At 38.3% G+C, this 17923-nt stretch overlaps 1 protein-coding gene and 1 long non-coding RNA gene across 6 annotated transcripts in view, besides 2 other annotated features; one reads left to right on the forward strand and one right to left on the reverse strand.

Moving 5' to 3' along the window:
* CHST9 (carbohydrate sulfotransferase 9) overlaps window positions 1-17923 on the reverse strand; it is a 278828-nt gene that overhangs the window by 64727 nt on the left and 196178 nt on the right. The window contains exon 1 of one of the 5 annotated variants that reach the window (XM_047437881.1): window positions 7449-7525. The exons of the other annotated variants lie outside the window; for them this stretch is intronic. Coding sequence (XP_047293837.1) covers window positions 7449-7479 — 31 coding nt within the window. The 5' untranslated portion in view covers window positions 7480-7525. Of the gene's footprint in view, window positions 1-7448; window positions 7526-17923 lie in introns of those variants that run through there. 5 annotated transcript variants of the gene reach the window in all.
* The window catches only part of LOC124904275 (uncharacterized), a 29076-nt gene that overhangs the window by 925 nt on the left and 10228 nt on the right, over window positions 1-17923 (forward strand). The gene's annotated exons all lie outside the window — the stretch shown is intronic.
* Window positions 7472-7521: an enhancer, noted in NCBI's record as "active region_13194". NCBI's record gives its function as "activates an Ori minimal core promoter by ATAC-STARR-seq in GM12878 lymphoblastoid cells {active_cell/tissue: GM12878}" and the evidence as "EXISTENCE:reporter gene assay evidence [ECO:0000049][PMID:35858748]".
* Window positions 7922-7971: an enhancer, noted in NCBI's record as "active region_13195". NCBI's record gives its function as "activates an Ori minimal core promoter by ATAC-STARR-seq in GM12878 lymphoblastoid cells {active_cell/tissue: GM12878}" and the evidence as "EXISTENCE:reporter gene assay evidence [ECO:0000049][PMID:35858748]".

The raw sequence follows: 17923 nt of genomic DNA on the forward strand, positions 1-17923 counted from the left end.
ATAGTAGGTACTTAATGTTGATTGTTGACCATGTCAGTCATAGAACACTCACTCAATGGAATAAAGCTGGTGTCTAGATATTGGTGACAACTTTAGCACATTTAAATTTAAAGTATGCTGTGTAAAAATTTCAGAATAAAGACAGAGAAATTCACTCAACAAACACTTATGGAGCATATGCTGTGCACCTGGCATTGTTGTCAGTACTCAGGAGGCATTCCTGAACATGTGAGACATAGTCAGAATAGACTAGGTTGTGTTGCAATAACAAACAATTGCCAAGTCACAGTGGCTTAAAAGGAAAGGTTTATTCATTTATCATACTCTATGTCCTTTGATGGCTGCCAGGGGAATAATGTTCGAATTAATCACTCAGGGAGCAAGCCCAGTGGAGCAGCTTCCATCTAGAAAGGTGCAGATGCTGTGTCAGAGGGAGGAATGGACGTGGCAGATGTGCTGGCTGCAAAGAGCTCTGCCCGCAGCAGCAGCACGCATCCCTTCTGCTCACTTTCTATTGGCCAAAGCAAGTCACACAGCCACGCCCAGCTCGGGGGGCGGGCAGGGAAATCCACTCCTCCACTAGACCTGGAAGGACAGAGCGCCCATGGCTATGGATAGCTCCCACGGCTATGGATAGCTCCCACGACTCCCCACAGACAAAGATTTCTGCCTGGTGGAGCTTATTCCAGTCTCTGAAGGGGAACACAGACAATAAGTAATAGACACGATAGGTAAGTAAATGGTAGAACATGTTAGAAGATGACAAGTATTATGGCGGAAAAAAAGCAGAGTTTGGTGAGGAGGTTGTGATGGAGGTGTGGCAGGGGTGTGGAGGGGAATGGGGTTTTCATTAAGATGGTTACATTGGGCCAGACGCCGTGGCTCACGTCTGCAATCCCAGCACTTTGGGAGGCCGAGGCGGGCGGATCACTTGAGGTCAGGAGTTCCAGACCAGCCTGGCCAACATGGCGAAAACCCATCTCCACTAAAAACACAAAAATTATCCAGGCGTGATAGCACGGGCCTGTAGTCCCAGCTACTCGGGAGGGTGAGGCAAGAGAATCACTTGAACCTGGGAGGCGGAGGTTGTAGTGAGCCGAGATCGCACCACTGCACTCCAGCCCAGGTGACAGAGCAAGACTCCAACTCCAAAAAAAAAAAAAAAAAAAAAAAAGGAAGAAAAAATAGATGGTGACATTGAGCAAGGAATTGAAGGAGGTGACAGAGTCAGTCATGCAGCTATCCTGGGAGAAAGGGTTCTAGACAGAGGGAGCAGGAGCGCAAAAGCCCTAAAGGGAGAGAGAGCATGGCCGTGTGTTTAGGCAGCAAGGAAGCCAGTGTGGTGGAGCAGATGGGGACCGACAGAGTTTGGGGCATGAGGCCTTGGGGATTCCACCTTTTCCTGCGAATGGTACAAGGAGCCGTGTCAGAATTGGAGGCAGAAAAATAACCCGATTTCACTAACTTGATAAAGGATCTGTGTTGGGAATGGACTCTGGGAGGGTAAAGATGGAGGCAGGGGGCGGCGGCGAGCAAGACAGTGATCCAGATGAGAGCTGAGGCGGCTCACCCGGGGATGGCGCTTTTCCTTGCCACGGGCTCTGATACCAGATTTCCTTTCAAGTGTGTGTTTTAAAATGCAGTTTTGGCTTCCAACACTGCGTGGCACTAAGAATGAAATCCAGTTTCTTCCCACGACCCAGAAGACGGCCGAGCTTCACCCTCTGGCTTCACCCCCTGGCACCCCGCTCCTCGTTTACTGAAGCCAGCTACACTGGCCTCCTTTTGGTCACTTGATTACAACAAATTCTTCCAGCCTCGCGGACATTCCCTTTACCTAGAACATGTTCTCTCCTTTTTCATGTCTTAGCTCAAATGTCTCCCGTTGGAGAGGCTTTCCCTGACCTCAAGGAGGCCTCTCCTGTTTATCGTTGGTCTCACCACTCCCTGTATTTCCTTCATGGTGGTTACTGCAGTCTGCAGTCCTATAGTTTACCTAATTCCTTTTCAATGGTCTATTTCTTACTGCTAGAACGTAAGCTCCATAATCAGACAGCTGGGATTGGCTGTGTCTTGTTCTGTGTGGAAATTCCAGTGTCTAGAGTGGTACCTGGCAGAATTAGGCACACAACAAGTGTGTGCATGAAAAAAATGAATGAGTCAAGAGTCCCATGGGATGAGAAGGCATCAAGGAGGCGAAGGTGCGGAACAGTGCGTAGAAGGCCCCGGGTTCAAGTAGTCTCATAAAAGCTGGAGAAGGTGTTGCTTTAGATCAAGCTTATCCAACCTGCGGCCTGCAGGCGGCATGCGGCCCAGAATGGCGTTGAATGTGGCCGAACACAAATTTGTAAACTTTCTTAAAACATGACATTATGTTTTTTTGCAATTTTTAAAAGCGTATCTGCTATTGTTAGTGTATTTTACGTGTGGCTCAAGATAATACTTTTTCTTCCAATGTGGTCCAAGGAAGTCAAAAGACTGGACACCCCTTTAAATGGGAAAGTGTTTTTTGAACCCAAAAGTGGGTGCCGTCACTCTGAGCATGCTGGGCCCTTATATTCTAATGACCTGGTTTTTGTATCTGTTTCCCCCACCAGGGGCTATGTGCTATTCTTCCTTTTAACCTTGGTGCCTACGGGCTCAAGGAATATTTTATTGCACCAAACTATACTGACTGCTCTTGTGTTCAGACTCTCATGCTGAGCTCTCTAATTAGATCCTCATTAAAAATAAAATCTTATCATGAATCTTGTAGGGCCTTCATGGACAAAAAAATTGTGCATGCCTGCCATGATATTTTGGACACACTGAGATGTTTTTAATCAAGCCACCATCTGGGCCATACATTTTGGTGACTCCATTTTATTGTGTTCCATCAATTCATGGCAGCCTCACACAATCTGAAGTATGGCATTTGAACTATGACCTATAACAACTCAGGGAGATGCCTATTTCCTTCCTGAAGTTTTAAGATCCAATGCAACTTGAAATGAAAGAAATAAGGGACTAATAAGATGAAAAGCAGTCTTCAGGAGTGGACAGTGGACACAGGCAGGCATGGCAAAGATGGTTAACTAGGTGAAAAACTGCGAGTAACCAAAAGAGGTGAATGCAACACTTTCTCTAGTCACTATCAGTGTTCCAACACAGGTGGAATCCTGAAAAGAACAGCAAACATTTTGGATGGTGGAAGTATGAAAAATGTGGGAAAGGAAGAGGGAAGAGAAGAATAAGATATGAAGTATGTTTTCTGTATTTTATAACTGCTGTTGAATTGATTTCTTCTGAAACCCTATCAGTGACTTTAGCTTTAGGTTATAATTTTGTTTCCAATTTAAAAATTAGTTTCCTTATATTTGCATGGTGCCTGGCAGCTTTCAGATTCTTCCATCATCCATGATCTCATCCGGTCCTCCCAACAAGCATATAGTAGGCAGAGCAGGCATACTTATTTTCTTTCTTTTTTTTTTCCTTTTTTTTTTTTGAGACAGGGTCTCACTCTGTCACCCAGATTGGAGTGCAGTGGCCCGATCTCGGCTCACCGCAACCTCTGCATCCCAAGCTGAGATGATTCTCCTGCCTCAGCCTCCCGAGGAGCTGGGATTACAGGCGTGTGCCACCACGCCCGGCTAAATTTTTTGTATTTTTAGTAGGGATGGGGTTTCACCATGTTGGCCAGGCTGGTCTTGAACTCTGACCTCAAATGATCCACCTGCCTCGGACTTCCAAAGTGTTGGGATTACAGGCATGAGCCACTGCGCCCAGCCCAGGCGTACTTATTTTCATTTCACAAATGAGGAAAGAGAGGCTTGGGGCTCTAGGCACCTTGCTCCAGGCCAGAGAGCTGTTACGCGGCAGAGCTGCAAGCATGGGTCTTTTGATAACACACCTACTGTGTCCTGCTAACCTTACTTTGTTGTTTAAATCTACTGTTTTATTAGATAAGGTTCTCCTGAGCCAAGATTTCAGTTGCAAGTGATGTAGTGATCAATTGCTTCCAGGAGAAGCCAGTGAGGGTGGGGGGAAGAGACATAGGGAACAGGAAGGAGCCCACACTCAGCCTGACTTTCCTTTTTACTTGTATAAATGTATGGCATACAAGTATAATTTTGTTACATGCAGAAATTGTGCAGTAGTGATGTCAGGGATTTTAGGGTATACATCACCCAAATAATGTACAGTGTACTCCTTACATAATACCTCATTGTCTGGCCCCTCCCACTGCCCCCACCACTCCGAGTCTCCATTGTCCATCATTACACACTCTAAGTCCATGTGCACACATTATTTAGCTCCCACTTATAAGTGAGAACATGCAGTATTTGTCTTTCTATGTCTGACTTATTTCACTTAAAATAATGGCATTCAGTTTCATCCACATTGCTTCAAAGGACATGATCTTATTCTTTTTAATGGCTGAACAGTATTCCAATGTATGTGTGTATATATATATATATATATAAATATATGTATATATGTGTGTGTATATATATGTGTATATATGTGTGTGTGTGTGTGTATATATATATATATATATATATATATATATATATATATAACATTTTCTTTATCTTATTCATTGATGGACACTTGGGTTGATTCTACATTTTTGCTATAGTTCAACCTGATTTTTGAGGGAGGGGCACTGCAGAGCATAAATTACATCTCAGAATTTATTCACCTTGGGGCAAAGGAGTTGGCCTTTTGTATTCCCACATACTTCTGTTATTGGCCAGTCAGCAGGAGGTGTCCCCCACCACAGGGAGGAACCAGGAGAACAAGGAGGACCCAGTGAGCCCGAGCAATCTTCTCATGGGTGGGAGTGCCAGCCTGTTAGCAGCAAAGCACATTAGAGGGGCTCCAACAATGTACTCCAAATCTACGCTCAACAGGAGGACTAAATAAGTGGGATAAGCAAAAGCTACTTAGAATTTTAAAAACGCTGCCTGAATATAAGAAATAATTTTATTCTGGTGCATTCTTAGGACAAATGGAATCATTCCAGAACCTTCTTTGAAATCAGAATCAGACACACTTGCAGTAATCTGACTCTCTCCCTGAGGAATCTGATATGAAGACAGTCATTTAGAAAAAGGAGTTGTGGCCAAAGCTGGATATTGTTTCACTGAATTTACAGAATTAATTCTTTTAACTAATTCTGTTCAGATAAAAGATCAAGCCTAGCAGACAAGTGATTTAGCCCCAGGCCACATAACTGGTAATTGACAGAAGCTGAATGAAGTCAGGTCTCCGGACACTCAGTCCAGAGTCCTTTCCAGTCCCTGCCTGCCCAGCATTAGGAAGCGATTTTGCTTTCTAGCTGGGCCAGACAGGGATCCAGGAGGGAAGAAGTGAGGGAGACATTCCCTTCTTTGACTCTGATCTTCAGCATTTTTGAAGCCCACTCAGACATGGAGAGAGACTAAGTCTCTTGAATGCTTTTCAAGTCCTTCTCTACCGTGGATGGGAAGGAAAGCATTCCTGAGACTCATTTGTAAAGACTGCATGATGTGACAAAGTCACATGAATACAGGAAGCCATCAGGCCACAGTGAGGAAAGGAAGCTGGGGACAGGGGGCTGCTTTGCTCCTGAGAAGGCTATCACAGTGACAATTGTGATCTGAAGGTCCTCAGAGTTTAGTAGAAGGAAAAAAATCCATCTCCTTGCATTCTTCTTCAGGCAGTCTTATGCAGTGCTTATGTATAGCTGCCTAGTCCAAGGTTTTTTCATTTTGTTTCTTCCTCTTTTATAAAGAAAGATGTTATTTGCAGGAAAAACATGAGTGAGAGATAAGGGATCTGAGCAGTCTCATGTACTTTGCCAGGCCCTTTTATGGAATGGGAGCATCCTTCATGCAAAATTCATGGAGTCATTCTTATGAGAAGTTCAGCATGCCTACTCTTTTCTATGGTCTTAGATTTCTAAGAAAAATGTGCATCTCTAAAGAAAAAAAGTTACTTGCCAATATATAAAGCCTTTTAATTTGTACCGATGCTTAAAAAAAAAAGTTTAAACAAAACCCAGATGGAAGCTGTCTAAATGCTTGGGTTAGAAAGAAGATTGGGTCAAATACAATAGCAAGTCCTAAAGCAATAGCCTGCTGCAGGGAGTATACATCTATCCACATTTAGTCTAAATGTAGAGTGACCTTTCACTACCAAGCCTTGAGCTTAAAGTTGGCTGCAGTTATTGGAAATCATTTCCAAAGGTCACTTGTAAAAAAAAAAAAAAAAAATGAAAAGAAAAAAAGTAATATGGATTTAAAGATACCTTTCATACATGTAGAAAGCCAAGGCTGCCATGCTAGTTAAAATACTATGGGAGAAATCATTGCTGCAGTGATGAGTTTTGAAAATAATCTAAAAGGTCTAGGGCTATACAGATAGCAATTTAATTTTCTTTCCCTATCCATTAGTAGAATTGTTCCTATGTGCATTGCTAAGCTATTTACCAACACCATATTATAAGCATCCGAAAAAGAATATGCATTATTACACTTAGGAGGGAGTTACTGAGAACCATTTGCTTTCATTAGGTCAGGGATATTACACTGAGGCCAGGCAGAGAACATTCCCATGAGCAAAAGTCTGACTCTCATTCCAAGTGGTGACATTTATATGCAGGGTGTCCAACATGTCATTAGAGATTTTCAAAGGGCATATATAGCCAAAGTCACTAGGGCATGATGCGTGCACCACCTTAATAACTTAAAAAAAAAAATTCACAGGCTCAGCAGGAGTATAGAAATACTCTTATGTTCATCAGTGAATGCTAAATGAGTCCCCTTTGTAGATGCAGGCAGAAAGAGAGCAGGCATGTGCATGTGTAAGAAATAAGACATGCTTTGATGATTCTCAAAGACATCTGCTCTTTTCCTGTGGTTTTTTTTTTTCTCCCAATGTAAAATTTTGTTCAAAGTGGAAAATAGATTTTTTTTTGCAATAAAACAGAAATTCATAACAAATTGTTCTATTTTATTTAATTAGAAATCTCTTTGTCTCAAAATTTTTCTTTTTACTCTTCCCAACTAACCCGTTTCTTTTCTCTTTTTCTGATGTGTGTGTGTGAGTGTGTGTATGTGTGTGTGTGTGTGTGCTGCTCTTCAGAGTAGATTGCTAAGGACAATGACAATATCTATTTAGATACTTTATTTAGGACTTGTATATTTATTTTTAAATCCTTTCATTTATTAAGTTTATTAAGTATTAATAATCTTTTCATTTATTGCCACCCCTCACAAATGTATAGAGCATCTCTCGTGTGCTAGAACTTTCCTAGCCACCTGAACCCACTTAGATGAAAAATAAGACACCTCTCTGTTCTCACAAACACTCGTCTGTTTTTGTTAGCGAAGACAGAAGTGTCTATCATGTGAGTTTTGTGATGCAGAGGGATAAACACATGTTCAGAAAAACATCTGACTTCCAGTGTTGCTTCTAACACTTACCAGCCTCGTAACCAGAGGGAAGAAACTTCATCTAAGTCTTAGTTTCTTCAACTGTAAAATGAGAAAAAATAATATCGGTCCTTCCTACCTCACAGGGCTGTGGAGAAAATAAAATGAAAGTAAACATTATGAAAATGCCTCATAAATTTCAAAGTGTTATGCAAATTCAAGGCACTAATGCACTGAGTAAATGGCAGACTTGATGCCTGGCTCAGAGCTGAACAGAGTGGGTTCCCTACAAAGGGACGAACCCAAGGGAGAGTCAAGACCTTAGCCAATAAGAATTTTCTAGGTGACTCATGTGACAAGGCCTATCTGTGGTTTTTGTGGTTTTTGTTGTTTCCGTTTTTTTTATTTATTTTATTTTATTTTATTTTTTTTAAAGATTGTGGCAGGTATGTCGGGGCACAGAAGGGTCTTTTATCCTTGAGCATGTTACCCTGTGCTATTGCCTTTTGGAAATATGCCCATCCTATTTTGTTGTGAGAGTTTGACCATAAATAGCTCTCTTCTAAAATGTGAACACTTTGTGCCTTTTATCTTCTTGCTGGCAACCCCTTGCATCTTTCTTTCGTTTTACAAATAATAATGCTTATAATAGAATATTTGGGGGAGGCCAAAAAGGAGAAGTGAGAAAAACATCACCCATAAGACAATCACTGTTAACATTAGTTTATTTCTTCACTTTCTTTTTTTCTATGCATATATGGAAAAAAACTATATTTGGTTTTATATAGTTATGGACAAACTGCATATCCAATGTTATAGTCTGCTTTTGTTTCCCACATAAGGTAAAATAAGAAATTTCCTTTATTTCCATTTTTTTCTGCCCTCTTATCATTCAAAACTCATGTTCTTCCTCATCTTCCTTTGGTAGCTCCCCATGTTTTGCTGATTTGATTTACAAGGCCTCATCTGCATTCTAATGACATGTTTCTGCCACTAGAATCCATCTCTCTTCTTCTTCTAAGAGTTAATTTAATTGTCTATATTTGTCATTTTACCAAGAGCTCCTTCAAGTAGGAGCCACGTCTATTTGTCTTTTTGTACACAGAGATCAGATCAGTGCTTGGCATAAACTGCTCAAGAAATATTTGTGGAATAGACTACCAATTCCTATGATAAATTCTTAGCAAAAATCATGTGTGTCTGCCCTCTAGACCATTGAGTTGATAAACTATAATTTCCTTAAAAATTCCTCAATTGCTGGTTTCCATATTGTTACTACACTACAATTAACATTTTAAACGTATTTTTTCTGTGTTTCAGATTGTTTTTAAACTTAAGATTCATAAATGAGAAATTCTAGGTCTCAATATTTTTTAATGAATTTTGACATGTATTTTCCAATTGCTTTTAAAGAACTTGGATCTACTTTCATCACTTTCAAGCTATATCCCAGAGTTCATCAAGACTACATTAAGACAGGATGGATACTCTTTCCTCCAGGAAGCCACCTCTGTTTCCCTACCCACTCTACCTGTTAAGCTTAGGTGTGTCTCCTCTGTGCTTCTATATAACCCTTCACTATAGAGTTAGGATGTTTTGTTATGGTTATATATTTACTTGTCTTTCTTCCAAAGAAGACTATGAGCTCCTTTAAAGGAAGAGGCAAATGTAATAAATTATTACAATCCCTAGCGCCTAGAAGTGTAACAGATTCACAATACATTCTTATTGACTGTAAGAAACCAGTGCTTAATCCAACTATATAAAAAAAATGACCCATGAATGAAGATAATAATGGCAATGATTATGTACCAAACATAAATTGGAGGATGAGAGAGATGAGGAGACTACCGATTTATTCTTTACTCTGGAAACTTTGACAGAATTAATGTTCAGTACATGCTATAATGTTCGATTATTCAACAGTTCACACACTGGAGTCAGGAAGTTGCCCAACACTGAATTTTCCCTTCTCCATCAGCCTGCCTTTACTCCATTTTATATGTCAGGTTTCCTTCCTCTAAAAATTCTTAGGGTTTACCACTTCAGCATGCAGATTTAATTACTGGTAGTGCTGTCTAAGGCAAGCAGTCCTATCAGTGCTAAATCTGTTTAAAAAAAGTCCACACTTTTCTTGGGGAAAAAAAAGGTTTTATAATTTATAAGAGTTCATAATGAATATTTTACCAAGGGCAGAAAATGAGCAAAGAGGTATGAAAGAGGCTATGGGATTATTTCCTAGCAACCCATCGGCCAAAACGAAGCCTAAATATGCTATGTCCTAAATCCCAGTGCAGAAAGAATATGTAAAAATGAAGTGATCTTAAAGAATATATGTGCTTTTTTCACTTGTTCAGTTTTTCTTCAACATGCTGATCAATATCCTCTATATAGAAATGATCATTAAATATGTAAGGAGAGTTCTGTGATGTTGATGGAGCCACAGGAGGCTCCCTTTTTCTTATATTCACATTCTCTAATAGCAGAGTTGGATTATTGCATTTTTTCTAGTTTCTCAAGTTAAGAAGTAGATTGGGAAATTAGAATTGGTTACAGGCTGAATTTTACATGTTAAAGGCTTTTGACTTAAAAAGATATTGGTAAGAAAGAGCCAAGGGTTTCTTTTTACAAGGCCAAAAGCATAAATATGCATAACCAGACAAAGTCCTCCACACCTAAATACCAAGTTATAAAAAAATCTTGCTCCTAACCCATGTAGACATGATGCTTACTCTTCAGGGTGAGGTATCCACCTTCATTCCATTCACAAAAAGTAGCCACTCATGTCTAGGATCCATCAATGTGTGAATTCTTGACACTTAGCTGCAGCAAGTATTTGCTAAGTGGCATATTCAGAACAGAGCCGCATCTATCATTCAAGTGTTACTAATTTCCATTGTAATGAGCACTTGAGAATGAACAGTAAGTTCGTTGTTCAGGAATACATGTGCAATCCTGCTGTTGATGGCCCATAAACACGAACTCATTTTCCAACCCTCAGGGCTTGCCTCTGGCACATGGAATTTGGAGGTATGATTTCTGTGGGTAATTATCCCACTTTGCATGTGTACAGTGCTTTGTAGTTAACAAAGACTTCCATTACATAAACTTGCACATCCAGTAGAAGCGGAGGCCTGACAATTTAATTATTACTATTAAATTGAAAGCTAACTGTAATCATTTCTGACAAGTCCCCTATCTTTGTCAGCAAATTTAGTGGGTTGAGTCAACTGCTAATTTGAATCCAGTCCATTTTCCTCCATGCCGTCATTGCCCTAGTTGAAGTTCTTATCAGCTCTCTCGATCAGCTGCAATATTTCTTCTAACCAGTCTTCTGTATTCCAGTCTCCCATCCTCCCCTTCCCACTTCCCAGTAAATCCTCCACACAGCAGTCAGAATGACCTTTAGAAAAGCAAATCTATTATGTTATTTTCCCTCCTTAACATCATTCAATGGCTTACAGCTGCCTTTAAGATAAAGTACAAAATCCTCCGCAGAGTAAAAAAGACCCATGATGTAGTCTCTGCCCAGAGGCTGAATTCTGAGTCCCTCAACACTGAAAAGATTACAGTGATCCACTTTCTACTTCCTCGTCTCTTCATCCACATGTAATTAAGAAGGGAAGAAACTATAAAACATGAAACACATATGTATGTTGTAGTTAAAATAGTTTCTTAAAACAGTTCTGATTACAAAATTGTGGATAAATTTATCAAAGCTAAACTCCTTTTACCTTTTTTTTTTTTTTTTGCCCTCTGCTTTGCAAGTGCCCCTAAGAATACTCAAACTTTGCCAGTTGGGTGATCTAGAACTGAGCTGTTTCTCTAGCAAAAACAGTCAAGCAAACAAAACAGTAGCAACAAAACTCAACATATGTCACTAAGGAACCTTTTGGTTCATTCAGCCATTCACTTAGAGTAAATTCATTGTGTGTCAGACACCGTTCCAGACCTTACTGGGGACGGGGGACACACAGTGAATGGGATACTGTTGCTGGCTTCAAGGAGCTCACAGTTTAGAAGGGATGGGGATGAGGGGTTATACAGTAAAGGTTTTCCAGTCTTTTCTTCAACATCTCATGCAACAGGTATCTCTGTGTTCCTAACCTCCTTGAAGTCTCCATTTACTGTACCTTGTTCCATGATTCCACATGATGGTCCTTCAAGTACTTATTCATTTATTCAAATATTAAGTCATTTCTTTTCCACGTGATAGTTCTTCAACGATAAAATGGAATAAAATTCATATACTCAAAAAATTATATGCCACACTCTGGGAATTCAACGGCCCTTGCCTTAAGCTCCTCACAGTTTTGTGGCAGATATTGACAAGCAGATAGACAATTACAAAGTGATGTGACAAGAAGAAGGACTGAGGAACTGAATATAGACCTCTAAGTGTGTGACCATCTGTGTAAGGAGAGGGAGGATCTGACCTCTGTGTAAATATTAGCCGGGCTAAGAATCACAGCGGGAGTCCAGGAAGAGGCACTGTCAATAAGCAATCACTGGTGGTATAACCAAGCATGGTAGGTTAGGGGAATCCTCTGTAGAGAGTATGTTTGGAGAAAGTATAGGTCCTAGACCAGTGTGTTTCAAATTTAGTGGACATCAGAATGACCTGCAGAACTTATTAAAGTAGTTTTCTGGGTCCCTGATAGTTTGAATATATGTCCCCACCAAATCTCATGTTAAAATGTAATTCCCAATGTGGGAGATGGGACCTGTTGAGAGGAATTTGGGTCAGAGGGGTGGATCCCCTCATGGCTTGGTGCTGTCCTTGCCACAGTGAGTTCTCATGAGATCTGGTTGTTTAAGTGTGTGGTATTTCGCCCCCAACTCACTCTCTTGTTCCTGCTTCTCCCATGTGACATGCCTGCTCCCTCTTTGCCTTTTGCCATGAAAAACAGCTCACTGAGGCCTCCCCAGAAGCCGAGCAGATGCCAGCTTCGTGTATAGCCTGCAGAGCCATGGGTCGATTAAATCTCTTTTGTTTATAAATTAGCCCACCTCAAGTATTTCTTTATAGCAATGCAAGAATGGCCTAATATAGTCCCATCTTCAGAATTTCTGATTTAGTAAGTCTTTGGAAGGGGACAAGAATTTGCATTTCTAACAAGTTTTAGGTAGTGCTGATATTATTGATCTGAAGAACCACACTTTGAAAACCACTGCCATAGGCAATTAGACAAGGAAGAAATCACTAAGTTTTATATATAAAAGTTATAAGTGCCTCATGAGTGTAGATAACAAAGCTTTGCAGTTATTTAAAAGTGGATAACTTTTGCAATTCAGTAAACTGTTACTGAGTCTTGATATACAAAAGACACTATTCAAGACCCTGTTCTTTTCTAGGGTCAACCCCTCTTCACTCCCACATTCCCAGTGGTTTTCAACCCCTTTACCAGCTTGGTTTTTCACTACAAAAATATAAAAGTGTCCTTTTTGCTGACATTGACTTAAGATAACCTTAGGCAAGTTTGGAGTCAAGACCTAAGCTCAAAACCCAAATTTACACCTGACTAGCCATGAGCTATGGAAATTAATTTAACTCACTTAATTGTAACTTTTCCAATATATAAAATGGGGAAACATTTATAGGGATTTTGTGAAGATAAAATGAAATATCAACTTGCCTAGTGCCTGAAGCATAATCAATGCTCAAAAAGTTCTAACTCAAAAGAGATAGTCTTTTCAATTAATTATGCTGGACCAGTTAGTTATTTCTATCCTGACTCCCACTTCACAAACAAAAACTGATTTTGGATAGATTGTAGAAGTACTGGAGATTGGTAAATGATAAAGCTTTTAGAAGAAAACATAGGGTAATATCTTCATAAACTTGGAGTAGGCAACAGTTTCTCAAACAGGATATAAAAGAACTAGCAATAAGGGGAAAATCTGGTAAAGTCAACTACATTAAAATTAAGAATTTTTTTATTATCCAAAGACACCATTAACAGAATAAAAGGAAAATTTATCAATAATAGGAAGATATTGCAATACATGTATCTGACAAAAGCATATATAAATAACTCCCATAAATCAATAAGGTAAAGTCAATCTCTCAGAAAAATGACAAAGAATTTGAAGAGAATCTTCATAAAAGAGGATTACCAAAAGACAAAAAAAAAAAAAAAAGAAATTGAAAAGCTACTCAATCCTTCATTAGTCATGAGGAAAATAAAAAAGTCTATATTGTACACACTCATCAGTATAGCTAAGATGAAAAAGTGAACAATGCCAAGTGTTAGTGAGGGTATAGATGAAAAGAAACTCTCATACACTGATGGAGGAATGTAATTTGTATAACTATTTTGGAAAACTCTTCAGCAATCAGTATCAACCAAAGCAAAGCATATGCCTGTCCCATCACCCAGAAATTCCACTTCTAGTTGTACACCTACCAGAAAGAGATGCATGCACATGTTCACCAAAAGATATTTATTGTAATACTGTTTATAACAGATCCAAAATGGAAACAACCCAAAGGTCTAGCTAGAGTAAAATAGATAAATATATGTGGTACATCAACATAAGAGAAAACCACAGAGCAACAAGAATGAATGAACTACTACTACATGCAACAACATGGATGAATTTCATAAGCATATGATTAAGCAAAAGAAGACAGACACTATTCAATTTATGCAGTGTTCTAAACCAGTCAAAATGAATCTATGTTGAGAAGAGACTTTTGCTTCTGATCAAGATGGAATAACTGGGACCAAATTTATTCTCTTGCCAAAACCAACCAACCAAACAAATTAAGACAAAATAGAATTAACTACGGTTTGCATGACACTGAACAGCAGGAAAAGGAGGACAGTAATTTCTGAGAGATAGTAAACAAGCAAGGCAAGCCATGTGATTGTCCCAGTTTACCAACTTGAGTTCCCAGGTTGTAACACAAGGAGAGAAAACTACAATAGAGCCCAGAAGACTCTTTGAGTTTAAGGGACAAATATGAGAATCCATGAACAAGGTGTCTAGAGTTCTCAAGACAAAGAACCAGAAAGGTGCATGCAGTTCAAAGAGAGAATGCTGAACATCTGCTGAGGCTTCCCATTGGGTATTCAGCAATTTCTGATGAGTACATGCATATGTCATAATGACCCAAGGCAGGGAAAGAACCTGGGTTAGAAAGGATTAGAGGGGATAGTGCCTGACACTTACACAAGGGTGGGAACAGTGCCTATTCCTACCAAATATACTGGAAAAAGTTACAATTTTTAGGGCATTGAGTAGATGCAAAAATCTTCCCAATGTTCGAGAAGGTCCTGCCTCAGTGTTAATTAGTTTTAGACTGGTCACTGTTTTAGATCCATCTAAATCATAAAAACAAGAACCAAAGTGATCAAACTCTCTCCAAGTAATTTAACTGTATCCTGGTATAAAGCCTGAGAAAATTTCTAGGAATACAAAAACATCCAATATAAAACAGGATAAAATTAACAAAGTCTGGTATTCAATCAAAGATTACAAGGTATGTAAAAAAGCAGGAAAGTAAGATCAATAATCAGAAAAATAAATAAATCAATTTAACTTAAACAGAAATTACTCAGAGATGAGAATTAGCAGGCAAGGATATTTTAAAGAGTTATAACTATATTCTGTATGGCCAAAAAGTTAAGTAAAGACATGGAAAATACAAAAAAGACCTAAATTAAACTGTTAGAGATAAAAACTAGAATATTTGGGACAAAAGAATTATACGGGATATGATTAATATCAGATTAGACAAAGATTAGTGAAATTTAAGCCACAGCAATAGAAATTATCAAAAACAAAAACACAGAGAAAAGATATAAAAAAAGAAAAGAGAATTAGTGAGCTATCAGACAACTTTAAGCAGCCTAATATTTTGTAATTGGACTACCTGAAAAGAGGAGAGGAAGATTTAAAAATCTGAAAAATAATAGCTGAAAATTTCATATTTTTGGTGAAAACTTTAAGTTCAGAGATCTAGGAAGCTCAAGAAACCTCAACCACAGAAAATCTGAAGAAAACCACATCAATGCACATCACAATCAAATTCCTCAAAATTGACACTAAAAGGAAAATCTTAAAAACAGCCAGAGGAACAAAAGACATGTTTTATACTGAAGAACAAAATTAAAGATGACAGGATTTCTTGTTGGAAACAATGCATGTAAAAGATCTTTGAGTAACAACTCTATAGTACTGAAAGAAAACAACCTGTCAATCTAGAGTTTTATATCCAGCAAAAATGTCTTTCAAAAATAAAGGTTAAATAAAGATGTTTGTGTACATATAAAAATTGAAATAATTTATAGAAAAATAAAAAGGATTTCTTTAGGCAGAAGGAAATTGATACTGAATGAAAACCTGTGTTTATACAAAGGTATAAAAAGCAACAGGATTATTAGCCATGTGAGTAAATGCTGTGGTTTGGATATGATTTGCTTTTCCCCACCAAAATTCATATTGACATTTGATCCCCGATGGGGCAGTGTTGGGAGATGGGGCAGAGTGGGAGGTGTCTGGGTCATGGGGGCCGATCCTTCATGAATGGCTTGGTGCTATTCTCATGACAATAAGTCAGTTCTAGCTCCAGTAAGGTTGAATTAGTTCTTGAGGGAATGGATTAGTTCTAGGGAGAGTAGTTATATAACCAAGACATCCCTTAGGTTTTGGCTCTCTTTGCACGTGTCTGCTTCCTCTTTGACCTCTCTGCCATGCTTTGCAGCACAAAAGCCCTTGTCAGAAGCCAGTGTCATGTGCTTTAACTCCCTAGCCTGTGGAATCATATGCCAAATAAACATTTTTTCTTTATAAATGACCCAGTCTCAGATATTCTGTTATGGCAACACAAAATTGACTAAAACAATAAACATAAAAAACCGAAAAAAGTTGTTTAAACCTTTTAAAAGACAATTGACTAAGCAAAAATAATAATAATGTATTGTGGGATTTATGGTATATAAAAATAAAATATATGACAACAACAGGGTGGGGAAAATGGAAGTATTATAAAGCTTTTATATTATACACCAAGTGGTACAATGTCTGCCCTGATCTGAATGTGTCCCCCCATCTCCTGCAAACTCATATGTTGAAACCTAACCCCAAAGGTAATGGCACTGGGAAGTGGGGTCTTTTGGGAGATGATTAGGTTATGAGAGCAGAGCCCTGATGAGTGGATTAGTGCCCTTATAAAAGAGACTTCAGAGAGCTTCCTTGCCCTTTCCACCATGTGAGGACCCGAAGAGAAATTGGCAGTCTGCAACTTGGATAAGGCCCTTCACTGGAATCTGACCATGCTCAACCTGATACTGGATTTCCCAGCCTCTAGAACTGTGAGAAATAAATTCTATTGTGTATAAGATACCCAATTTATGACATTTTGTTATAGTAGCCACAATGGACTAAAATAAAATAACTGAAAAGTAGACTGCTAAAGTTAATGATGCATATCTACCCTAAAAGAATGACCAAAAAAAATAACCTAACAAAAGAAATAAAATTGAATAATTAAAAAATCGATTAATCCAAAAGATGGCTGACAAAGGGAAAAAGGGAACAAAGAAGACAAGAGACAAATAGAAAGCAAATAGCAAGGAGATAGTATTTAAATTAACCATATCAATAATCACATTAAATATAAATGGTGTAAACATGTCAATTAAAAGATATTTATGTTTATTGGATAAAGAAGCATAGCACAACAATATTCTGCCTTTAAAAGGGCACTTCAAATATAAAGACAGAAATAAAAGTTTGAAAAAAGATATACCATTGTAAAACCAGTCAAAAGAAAGCTAGAGTTTCTATATTGAGCCAGGCAAAGTAATATTCAAAGCAAAGAATATTACCAGGTATAAAGAAGGTCATATCATAATAATAAAAGGACAATAAGTCACAAGGACAAAACAATGCTAAGTGTTTATGTCCCTAAAAATGGAGATTCAAAATACATGACACAAAAACTGATAGGGCACCATTGAAAAATAGTCAAATCCATAATTGCTGTCAGAGAACTCAATACCTCTCTTCCAATAAAGAATAGAATAGACAGATACTCATCAAGGCTATAATAGACTTGAAAAACATCATTAATCAAACTGGCTTGATTATTAAGAAAGACTCTATCCAACAATAGGATAATACACACTTTTCAAGTGCACATGCAATATTTAACAAAATAGAACATAAGTCTGGTCCATAAAACAACTCTCAATAAATTTAAAAGTATTCAAGTCATGTAACATATGTTTTCTGGCCATAATGGAATTAAATTAGAAATCAATAATGTGAAAATCTCTAGAAAATCTAAATAACACAAAGGTCAAAGAAAAAATGAAATGAATTTTGAAATGAATGAAAATGAAAGCATGACATATCAGAATTTTAAAAATGTCCCTAAAACAGTACCCAGGAGGAATTTTATAGTGCTTAACACCTATATAAGAAAAAAAGAAAAGTCTCAAGTTAATGACCTCAACTTCTATTTTAAGAGACATGAAAAATGAGAGCAAATTGAACCCAAATTAAGCAGAAGAAAG

This window comes from Homo sapiens, chromosome 18 (assembly GCF_000001405.40).
Source record: "Homo sapiens chromosome 18, GRCh38.p14 Primary Assembly".
Lineage (NCBI taxonomy): Eukaryota > Metazoa > Chordata > Mammalia > Primates > Hominidae > Homo > Homo sapiens.